The sequence below is a fragment of the Homo sapiens genome, chromosome 6 (assembly GCF_000001405.40).
Source record: "Homo sapiens chromosome 6, GRCh38.p14 Primary Assembly".
NCBI lineage: Eukaryota > Metazoa > Chordata > Mammalia > Primates > Hominidae > Homo > Homo sapiens.
This window is the reverse complement of record NC_000006.12, coordinates 125,656,360-125,668,561: the sequence shown is the minus strand read 5'-3', so window position 1 is coordinate 125,668,561 and position 12,202 is coordinate 125,656,360. Positions and strand designations below refer to the sequence as shown.

General features: G+C 40.4%; 1 long non-coding RNA gene across 4 annotated transcripts in view; it reads left to right on the top strand.

The window, feature by feature from the left end:
• HEY2-AS1 (HEY2 antisense RNA 1) overlaps positions 1-12,202 on the top strand; it is a 171,898-nt gene that overhangs the window by 80,864 nt on the left and 78,832 nt on the right. For 2 of the 4 annotated variants that reach the window (NR_183491.1, NR_183498.1), the window contains one exon: positions 11,096-11,133. The exons of the other annotated variants lie outside the window; for them this stretch is intronic. This is a non-coding gene — a long non-coding RNA (HEY2 antisense RNA 1). The remainder of the gene's footprint in view (positions 1-11,095; positions 11,134-12,202) is intronic. 4 annotated transcript variants of the gene reach the window in all.

Below are 12,202 nucleotides of genomic sequence, written 5' to 3'. Positions count from 1 at the left end.
ATGCTTCTTTACTATGTTGATGACCCAGCTGGGACGTCTCCTTATGAGAGAGTTAAAATGAAAACAAAAACCAGGTGGAAATGATTGAGTACAAAGAGAGAGATCAGGTCCTTTTGGCCAAAAACCTGGCCCCTGTGTGAAAGACCCAGGATACTACATCAGACATTCTGTGGCCAGTGAGCTAGACATGGTCATGCAAGGCCACCACCACCCCGTTAAGGGTGTTAGAACTCATTGAGTGGCAGTACACAGTCTATGCTAGTCATCCTGCGCTTTGGCAGGGGGTGAGGTTCTGTCGTTCGAGAGAGGCACTCTTGGCAAACTGTGTTCCTGTTTGAGGATTGAACAATTAACAAAGCGATAATTCTCCTTCAGTGTTGGAAGTACAAGGGAGTCAATGTACTGACGCTGAGTTGAAGCAGACGTGTCGGTAGATAGAGTGATACATTTATTCCAGGAGCCATGAAGAGGTTATCATGGCTCTACTATATTACAGGTTTACATCAGGTACTTTTTCAAGGAAACTTTCTCCCGCTAGTTGGTTCAGGTGTGGAGATATACAAGTCCTGAAGCAGGAGATCTTTGGGTCAGTGGATTCAAGAAGGTAATTATTCACTGAGGTGCATTTCTTACACTTGGTCATGCCTTACCCTTGGGCATTGTATGTGTTGAATCATTTTCTTTTTATTAGCCATGAAAATAATCACTCTGTGTTGGGCTGTCATTGTGTTCTATTTTTCTGGCATTTTAATTTTTTAAAAATTGCCTTTCGCTAACTTGAAAACAATGTGTTTTCAGGCTCCAGGTTGTCTGCTCACTAGTGAGTGGGGTCTTGGGTCAGGTCATTCAGATTCCCACAGGATTCATTACTCACCTACATTGTGGTCTGCCAATGCACACCATATACCAATTGCAAGTAACTATATAGCAGGCTTTTGTCTCTAATAAAGGAGCAGGAAATCAGAGGCAACAACTACTTCCTGACAAATTCAGTTCTCTCTCTTTCACTGAGTAGATGTTCTTTTGATTACTTAAACATAGAGGGGAAAAACAAGTTCCAACCTCTGTGGGCAAGCTTTGGCTAGAACGCCATCCAAACCCTGCGGGGCCGCTCGTGAGGCCTTGTTTTTCTCCGAGTCTATTGCTGTGTAATAGAAACCTTCTATAGGAAATTAATGATTAAATATATTCATTCTCAGAATATGCAGGGAATTTTGTTTAAAATCGTTTCATAAAATGAGGGGCAAACTGGGTCTTCCCTTTATTGCTAATATCCCTGAGATCAGTACTTGGACCTAGGGCAAACTTGACCGCACGCCTATACCATTGTCTGAATTGAGGGTTTTGCCTCTGTGAGGTTTGCATCCATATAGATGGAAGGTATGTCTGGTCAGGTCTACATACCTGGTGAAAATGAAAAGGTTGCATACATTCTCCTCCCACCTGCTCTGGAGATTTGGGACTAGAAAGGCAGATTAAAAAATTTGCACTGGTATGTAGTGAGACCAAGCCTTCATATAATAGGGAGATAGTCAGCTATGTAGCTGTGTCAATATTGCTGGGCTTGGGTAGAGGAGAAATACAGAAAATAAAACGTTCAGATTTACACATACTTGGAAGAGGAGATCAAAGAGCTGCATCTCAGATGAATGTTACTGTTTGGTTTATGTGCAGAACTTTCTTGGCACTTTGAGGTTACTTCTGCAAAAATGCAAGTAAAGAAAATAAGAAACCAGCAACTCAGGAGAGATGCAGGAGCATGTTCAAGGGATCTGCATCAATTGGCAGAGAGTCTGGCAGGTGAAGATATTTACTCGAACTTCTCGTAACTGAGATCTCTTATCCTGGCGTGTTCTGAGCAAATTTGAGGGAGGATAAAAATTATCCTTTGGAAGGAAAGTATGAAAGGGAGATGGAAGATAAAGAAGGACAAGAAAGGGAAAAGGATGCTATATTAAAACTTCTTATTCCAGACCCAGAAGCAAAAGGTATGTAGTAATTATATCCAAATCCATCTATCCATCCATCCTTTTTGACATATGTTCATGCAGAAAAGAGAATAAGAGACCTAGGCTTGCTACTACATACCATTCTTTGAAAGTGGTTTGCCTCAATTTGATGCCTCCCAGATGGATCCGTTAATTTTTTTTCTTTTTTTGTAGAGATACAGTCTCACCATGTTGGTCAGGCTGGTCTTGAACTCCTGGGCTCAAGCCATCCTCTCCTCTTGGCCTCCAAAATTGCTGGGATTACAGGTGTGAGCCACCATGCCTGGCCTTCAGATAGGTGCTTTTAAAAGTTCTGTGTGGCCTCTTCACAATGTAACATTTGAGTTGTTAGGTGGGGGCGGAGTGCAGGGTATTCAGTCTGAGAGCCAATCTTTATAACCAATACTCTTTTGTTGTGGTGAAGCTATGAAGAGAAGCAATGAGTCAGATGGTGAAAGGATCCAGCTTTCCCTTCTACTTTAATACCTGGACTGGGGACACATTTGGTAAAGCCCAGTGGAGAAAGGTATCCCTGTCAAAGTTGTATCCATTGTATGGATGAATAGAGAGTTTTTGTCTCTTAGGATGTCAGTCCAGCACCAACCATCAGAATTAAGTTCACTCAAAAATTTAAAGCAAAGCACCCCCTGCAACTTTTCCTACATCCCTGCAGGATTATATTACTATAATCAAAGAGAATCCAGAAAGAAACGGCCTTGCAGGTTATCTGGTTCATCCTCTGTTTGCAGGTTTCCTCCTTCAGCAGAGCCACTACTGTTTGGCTCTGTCCGGTTTCCAGTGTCCTGAGTGAGGGAGCTTCCCGCCTTTCCCTTGGGAGGCCATTCTCAAATCCAGCAGTTCTCACTGCCAGGAAGTCTCTGATAGGCATCTAGAATTTTCCCTTCTTCAGCTGTATCTCATTATACCCTCTCTCCCCTCTCTGGCTGCATGCTGTTTCCCGCCTTGGCCTTCGTGGGCTACACTATATGAAAACTCCTTTCAGGTCATTCGTTTTCCTTTACACATCCTGCTTTCAGTTCTGAAGATGGCAGAGGTTCCTTTTTGAGACTCCCTCTACCATATTTTGTTTGCCTCTTTCTGCATATGTGAGCACAGAATGTACTGTCTCATCTTCAACATAAAGTTGGGTGTTACTAACAACTTGTTTTTGTAGCTTTTGTCATTCTTTTTTCCTCCACAGAAACTAATTATAATCTGACTATGAAGCTTTAGTGTGTTTTCCCAATAGGTTTACTCTTCACAGGGTAACTTTGTGTTAACTTTGAGGATTACAAATCAGCCTGTGCAAAAATGGGAGGAAGAGAAATTTAGTCAAGAATGACACATGCTCTGAAGCAACAAGATGAAAAATCAACTTCAGAGGAAAGGCTTGCAGAATTGTCTGCAGTGTGGCTTTATCAGGTTGTGTGTTGTTAGGGATCTTGAAATAAATGTCCTTTCTATTGTGCATGATGGACTCAGGAGCTGGACTCGGGGGTGGACTTTGGTGCACATCATAGGCTTTGTGGTCATTGTGGACCTAGGGCAACCCAAGGATAACTCCAGATTCCAGAGTGTTTCCAGGTTATCCCAGCTGGACTCTCTAATTGGGAGGCTTCTATACGCTACATCTGATGTGAAGGGAAATCCCCTTTCATCTGAATATCAGGAGACAAGGCAATTGTGGCAATGTTCTTAGTAAAAGTCTAGGCTCTGGAGATAGACTATTCAAACCCTGGCTCTGTAAATTTTGTAGGAATTAAGGCAAGTGGATTAATCTTTCTTCTGCTCAGTTTTCCTATCTGTAAAAGGCAATAGTAATCAAAGATACACCATGGGATGTGGGCAAGGATTGAGCTGATAATGCTAATAAAATAGTGCACACTGGCACGTTGTAAACACTCACAACATGCCCTAAGTGTGCCTAGAAAATATTTCTGAAATGGCTTTGCCAAATTTATGTACGAGGTTACTCATTGCAATATTATAGTGGTAAAAAATTGGAAATAACAAACATATCCAGGAATACAGGCTAAGAGTCTAAAAAAATTTGTTAACAAACAATTTAAGTTACTTTAGAAGAGTAGAGTTCCATGCAAATACACAACATACATGTGTTGATAGATACTGGATGTGAATGCACCAAAATTTTAACATTTTGCTTATTCTCCCTTTCCCCGTCATTAGCAGGCATTACTTTATTTTTTTTTCCAGAAATGGCATGTTTTATAATCTCAATCTCTGTGAAATAATATGCCTAATTTCTGTTTAGGAATTTGTGTCATTTAGAATGAGAAATCTCCTCAGCCTAAGCCTCTGCAAAGCCCTGCTTCCCTGCATTCAGCACCTAGACATATTTTTATAATCAGCAAAAAAGAGGTGTAAAAAATGATTTCCTTGATAAGTAGTATCTTGCAGGCTGTTACAACACAACTCATTGGAGGTAGGCAGGCCGACCCACGGCAGATTTCCTGCCTCTGAGCTCTCTCCACTTTCTGTTCTTGGTAAGCTCTCAGAGTGACCTTGTCATCCCCTCTGCAGAAATAAAAATTGCTTACGGTCTTTAAAATAAATGTATCTGAATTTGAATTCAGATACATTCCTAGCCTTGTTGCTCAAGAGTTTTATGTCTTTGAGCATGAAGAAAGAAGGAAGCAGAATCCATATTTATAAGGGGTGTGCTGGGATACACTTTACATAAAAGTTAAACTAGAGGCCAGGCACAGTGGCTCACGCCTGTAATCCCAGCACTTTGGGAGGCCGAGGTTGTTGGATCACTTGAGATCAGGAGTTCGAGACCAGTCTGAGCCACATGGTGAAACCTCGTCTCTACTAAAAACACAAAAATTAGCTGGTCATGGTGGTGCTTGCCTGGGATTCCAGCTACTCGGGAGGCTGAGGCACGAAAATCACTTGAACTTGGGAGGTGGAGGTTGCAGCGAGCCAAGATAGCATCACTGCACTCCAGCCTGGGTGACAGAGTGAGACTCTGTCGCAAAAAAAAAAAAAAAAAAAAAAAGTTAAGCTAGAGACCACACAGTGGGACAGTGTGGTGGAATGGTGACTCAACCCCAAGTCTTCACACTGCACATCCTCTGCTTTTTTGCTCTGCCTCTAACAGTTGGCCTGGTGTGAATTGGTTTTCTTGTCTGCAAAGTGGGAATAATAAGGGGATTAAATGAGGTAGCCTATTTGGAAGTGCATGGAACATGATACATGTCCATCTTGCAACCGCGTGATAAAGGTCTTGGATGAAGAAACCAAAAGGGGCTTACCTAAAGCTGGGAACAGAACTTCAGGGTTCTGATTTCTAGGTGGATAGTCTCTCTACCAATATACACACTCTGATACATACTGTAATTATTTCCATGAAAAAAACAATTAGAAGTAAATGCATTGTTCCTGTTTTATGTTCAGGTCAAAAGGATTTCTTGATCCTGATAAAACATTTACATCCCTAGTTTACCCTATTTTGTGTTCAGTGTCATACCATGAAAGATATCTCTAAGTGAAAGAATTGACTGATGTTGATGATTTTAAAAGTGAAACCATATGCCAAATTGCCTCTCAAGAGCTAAGAAATAAACTCCCGCTGATGTTCTCTCAGCCTTTGTCTTGTTTGAAATATTTAGATCTGATAGCAGAAGGGCCAGGAGCTGGGTCTTCTCTACATTTTGCCAATGCCAGTGAGGTACTTACTGCGGCATCAAAGTGAATGATCAGCAGTTCTGGGGGCAACCCATCAAGGGGTACAGTTAGCTGTAGTTTCACTTCATCTCAGAATAGGAGACATTTCACAAATTATATTTTGCAAATGAGTTATTTTAAATAGCGGAGATGCCCTATCTGATATGGCCCATGGTTGTGATATTTACATTATGAGCAATATCATTTTCCTTACTTTTTATTATAATCTTTTTTTTTTTTTCCTGCCAAACCCGATGGCTGAAGGAGTACCTCTAGCTCCCGCAGTGGCTCAGGGCTGCAATCTGCTCTGTGTCTGCTCCCCTGACCGTGGGCACACAAAGCAGGCTTCTAAAGATTCCACTGTTTGCTTCAAGCCTCACGCTGAGTCCCTGCTGTTGACCACATTTTGAATGTTTTTCTAATAATTTTTCAACTACTTCCCTGAAAAAAAAGTTCATTTTTGAAATCATCTGTTGGTAATTAGGGTGACCAGCTACTTGCCTTCTATTATAAGGCCTAGATCAGAATTTCATGGGCAGTGGCATTCAAAGTCAACTTTGTATTGCAAAGGAGTGCAGGTTCATTGGGAGAGTTTTGGAATCACTGTGATTCTACAGTCTGGAAGCTTTTGGTCAATACATGGCAAAGTTGTCGATAATGAAGACAATTGAAATTCGTAAAGTGACGTATAGTTAAAAAGCAACTCATGAAACCAGCAATTCATCCACCAGAATTTCCTAAGGATCTGCTACATGGTCTATTCTCAGAAAATTCATAGGTAAGGAAACTATAATAATTTCTTTGGTCCTCATGATAACTGTGTGAGGCAGGATTTATTTCTCTGAGATATGATTATTTAGGGTGGGAGCAATTGATTTCTGGGAACAGTGAAATTGATGTCAGTATTTTCACACATGTATAGGTCAGAGCTGGTCCTCAAACCCAGGACCCCGTGCTCCAAAGTCTTGCTCTTTCCCATGAGCGTGGACTCTGGACTCAGACACCTGCATCTCATTCTGATCTCCAATGCTACATAGTTGGGAGACTGCAATCATTACTTAGACTCTTAGCTTCTGCCTCCCCATCTGTAAGATGAGGGACATCATTCTGGTTACTTTCTAGGGTTATTGTCAGGATTATAGGAGCTATGCATGTGGAGAATTTAGCACAGTGCCTGGCACATAGAAACATCTCAACAAATGCTCTCTGTGAGAGGAATAACAAGAATGATTATGAAAATCATTCATATGATTATAGCTACAGTATGAAGCTCACCTACTGGACACTCTTACAAGATCCTCGAGAAAAATATCCCACAGATGTGCAGTGAAACCAAGGAGGTTATGTCAGTTTCCATTTTTTTGCTAGCGATTATAAAATTAAAAATGTGTCTTAATTAGATCATGTATTTATTCAACAATGAATATTTCCTAAGAATATATTGCGTGTCAGGGCCGGGCATGGTGGTTTATGACTATAATCCCAGTACTTTGGGAGGCTGAGGCAGGAGAATTTCTTGAGCCCAGGAATCAGGAGTTTGAGACTAGCCTGGGCAACATAGCCCTGTCTCTAGCTAAAAAAAAAAAATATATATATACATATATATATGTATATATATATGTATATATATACACACACACATATATATGTGTATATATATATATATACACACACTATATATATAAAATGTGTCAGATGTGGATCTAGATGCTGGAAACTTACATTCTAGGAGCTAATCTTTAATCTTCAGAATAGTATAATATGTTGAAAATTATCCATATTAGTATTTTACATGTGAATAAAATGTGACTTGGAGAGATATATAATTTGCCTGCAGTCACCTGGCTGCTAAGCTGCAGGGCCAGGATGCTAATTCAGACCCTTTGCCACCAAGTCCAGGGCTGCTGCTGTTATTGTCTGTAGCAAGAGAGCTTCTTCATTCCAGTGTCACCCTTCCTTTCCTTGATGAAGGGGTGGAAGTGACTGTAGTATACCATATACGTTAGGCAAATCTAAATTCTTAGATTATAATTTATTCAGAGAGGCCCAAATAGGAAATTTTTTATAAAAAGAAGTAAATAAGAAACAGATTCATTGAGAGGTGAAATGGTAGATTCCGCTATTTCCACATAGATCTGTTCTATAGACAGGTGGATGTTTACTGTTAAAATCATCAAAAAAATACTCTAAAATCATTTTTTTTGCCTCACAACCAGATTCACTAGTAACATGCATGCACAGAAGTACACTTTCTGTGTGCAACATAAATATCTAACATTAACTCAGGCAGTCACTGGCTAACATGAGGCTTTTACATTGACACTCAGTATGTGTTAAACTGAATTAAATTATTTTACAGTCTAAAATAACTGGAATTAAGAATCAACTGATGTCTTCTCATAAGATAATCATTTATATACAGTACTTGAAGAAGCCTATTTCATCCAGATTTGTTCTCCTTTCTTTCAGTAAATGAATTCTAAATTCCAGCCATTTCTTTTTTGGGTGCTATTTATTTATTTTACCATTTTTAATTTATATCTGAAATTCAGCACCAGTCACATACCTGATGTACTTAATATCAGGTACTTTTGCCAGGAATTTCAGATAGACTTGTTCCCTGTCTGAACCTGTACTTTCTTCCTTATATCCTGGGCAGCAGGGTCTGGAGCAACCACTCATAAAGGTGTAGGTTTGTCCAATACATGAAGAAGTAGGAGGGGACTCAAGAGCCCACAGATAAACTATAGGGTGAACTTTAAAAACCCTTAAGAACCAAAATCCTACCATAGGATCATCAGGAGAATAGGACTGCTTCATCATTCATTCATTCATTCATTCATTCATTCATATTTATATTTCTTTAGCTGGGCTTTTCTGTAGAACTTTTTGAAAACCTGTTACCAATCCACCTACTTACCATACAGTAGCACTGAATTCCAGGTAAGTGTAGTGGGCCCACCACTAATTTTTTACGATTGTGTTGAATCCTAATCCTGAATTCTAAGCTTCAAAATCAGTGGAAAATAAGTAGCATATTTTTTCTTTATTTGTTTGTTTGTTTGTTTATTTATTTTTAGATGGAGTCTCGCTCTGTTGCCCAGGCTGGAGTGCAGTGGTGCAATCTCACGTCACTGCAACCTTTCCCTCCTGGGTTCAAGCAATTTTCCTGCCTCAGCCTCTTGAGTAGCTGGGACTACAGGCTCACGCCAACATGCCCAGATGATTTTTCTATTTTTAGTAGAGATGGGGTGTCACCATGTTGGCCAGGCTGGTCTCGAACTTCTGACCTCAGCTGGTCTGCCTGCCTCGGCCTCCCAAAGTGTTGGGATTACAGGTATGAGCCACCGCGCCCCGCCCATATTTTTTCTTTTTTACCTAGTTCACCGATCAATATCTCTAATTGGCCAGGGGCAGAACAGAACTCCTACAGAACACCAATCAGTGTAAACTGGTCTTTTCTAGTCTCCCCACCTGTGGGTATAGATGGCTCGTAATATCATCAAAGCTCAGATTTTGCTGGCTCTTTCCTTTACTTGGTGATGTATGCCCCTCTCTTCTCAGATGCTCCTATGAGTCCCTGTGGGTTTTGTGCATGTGCTTAGCATAACCTCCACCCCCACTCTTCCAGGCACCATGCCTGTTCTGCCTGGCATTGTTATGAATTCCTGAGGTGCCCAGCTATGCAGTGACGTATGGTGATGTGGGAGAGTGCTGTCCTATAGTTGGCTACAGGAATCTTAAAAGAACCCTTTCTGTGGTCCAACATTTTGCAGAGTTTTCAAAGAAAGAAGCCTCCCTTCTCTACTCATAATCCTCTTGCTTTCGTGGTTGAAAAGGGTGGATACTGGGCTGGTAGGCAAACTGCAGTAACACAAATGTCAGCACTATCCCTCCCCTTCAACCAACGCTCTTGGCTACACTCTGAGGTTGTGAGACCTCCCAGGAGGTGCCTCAGGCCACAGACAGATGGCTTCAGAGTCCTTCCCTACCACTTGGCCACACAGACCCAAATATATATGAATCCCACTTAGACTCAAGCTCCAATCTTTACTGCATATTCCCCAGTGGAAGATAAACTGTTTTTAACTGCTTTTTAGAAAAAACCTGTTTAACTATAATAGCAGTGATCTAAAAACTTTCACATGTGAATTAAATGACGCCTCAGTGGGGGCAGAGAAATGAAAGGGACTAAAACTTCTCTGAATTTCAGGATGATTAAATAATAATAGTAGAAAAATGGACAATTCTGCATTCAATACAAGTGAGACTTCTACTTAACAAAAACCCCAGTGAAATACTGCATATTCTTAAAGCAGATGAACAATTATACAGGAAATAGAGAAGTCTAAACCTTGTAGCCTGTTATCTATCTTTACCTTAAGTCTGAAAATGTCAAAAGACAATTAAGAAATTATTAATCATGGTGTAGAGTAATGGAGGATGTTTCTCACAAACATCGTCTTTCCCTCTCAGTGACCTCCTATTTTGGGAGGTGGTCATGAACAAGCATAAACTTGATACCCTTATCCATATGGCTGAGCGGATTAGGATGGGTGTCAGGTTGTGCCAGGAGTGAGTGGCTAGAAGCACGTCTGCCCTTGATGAGCAGAACTGAAATCATCACTCAGGCAATCGCTAGTGAAAGCCTTGAGTGACTACCTCTAAAACCCCAGTCTCCATTGAAAAAGGAATTGCATTTGACACTGGAAGCACACTTCATGGATCTCGTGTGGATGACTTTCCTTTGAGGTCTGCAGTGTTCACTGCTGTGCTGCACATGTGCCCAACTACAAAATGTAATTGGGATGATCCAGAACTTTAGTCGGACCATGAGAACAAATCATGAGCAATCAGGAAATAGGATAAATTCAAAAGTTCCATAATGTGGGAGCCTCAATCAGTTTTCCCAAAAGTATGTAATAATACCCAATTAGTCTCAAACACACTGTCATTTTGATAGTTACCACTACAATCATTTGTAGGAATATGAAGAATTCTTATGCATTAAATTGCTGATTTTCCATGAGAGGCTTCTTTTGGTAATATTGCACTCAGCTTGCACATTCCTTGTTCTGTTTGTCTTTTCATCTAACTTGACAGGTTTATAGAATCAGTATTGAAAAACTGCAAGTTTAACCTTGGGAGTGTATATTGAAATTCTGGGCCTCAAATAACAATTTTGGGACTCCCAGGCTGCTGCTTCTTTATTCTGTCCATACCTGCCTGTCATCTGTTCAGAGAGTTTGTGCTATTTCCCCAAGGTGGCCCAGTATCACTTGGCTCCCACACCTGCTACCTGGCCATTCTTCTGTTGTATGATGTGACATTATTGGACTTTGCATTTGTGTGTCTATTTTTGGATTGGGTTTCTGAACCTTTGTTGCCTACTCTGAGCAGGTTGTTTTTGCTTCCTGTAGAGAATCTGGAAGACTACTCTGCCAAGACATCTCAAAAAGTAAGTCTTCAACTAAGTGTTCATTGAATTCAGGGAAATTGGAAAGTTTTGTAAAAATAAATTGAATTACCCTTTTTTTCTGGTGTTTCTCTTGAGGATAATACATCAGAGCAATTAGTGATTTAGTTATTTGGAAAAAGTGAGATTCCTCATCTATGCATAAACTCTAGTCTTTAAAAAAAAAAAAAACTTGGTGTGCCTGAGGTTTACACAGCTTTAGTTAAATAACCCTGTAAATCTACATTAAAATCTTTGCAAAATTATAGAAGAAAAAAATAATGAAAGAAAGAAGGAAAAGAAGAAAGAAAGGACACCTCTTTCCCAGTTGGTCCCCCAATCCTCAACACCACCAAAAACTTCCAAAGTTCTAAATTTGCTTTCCATTAAGACAGTGGTTAGACGGCAGCTGTTGAGCCTCTTAAGCGAATACACGATATGGTAATAAACATCATTTCAGAAACAGGCTTTTTGTTCACTTTACTAGGAAGCACAATAATGAGCTCTGCATGTTCACTACACGTTTTATACCAGATCCTGACTTTAACAAAGGGAGGGGTGTCGCTGCGATTGTTTTACTCCCTACCTAGAAAATAGAAATGTTTGTTTTGTCTTTGAATTCCAGTCACCCTTGACTATGCAGTGCATTGTAAAATGCTCTTTGAAGTTCATGTGTCATCCATTTAAAATGAACACTACAGGTTATCGTGTGCTGCTTTTCCCTCCAATTGTGCTTGGTGTCCCAGTTTCTCTGGGGAAGGTTCAAATCTGACAATACCCTTACCTTATTGTATAGAAGTCCATGCATAATGCTGGTTTTGCCAGATGGAGTCTGAACGTTTATGACTGCTAGCTTTCTGTTTGTGTAGGAATCCAATTTATATGGAAATAGAGGGTGATCATTTTAATGCAATCAAATGTCCTGAAAAGTACTCCCTGGATGTCTCATGCTCTATGCTCAGCTGGCTGTGTGTAACAATTGACATGTCTTCTCTTTTTCTATAGCACTGGGCAGTCCTGGGGAAAGTAGGGAGAAGACAGTTGTGGTTCAGAACCATTGTTTGCTGGAGGA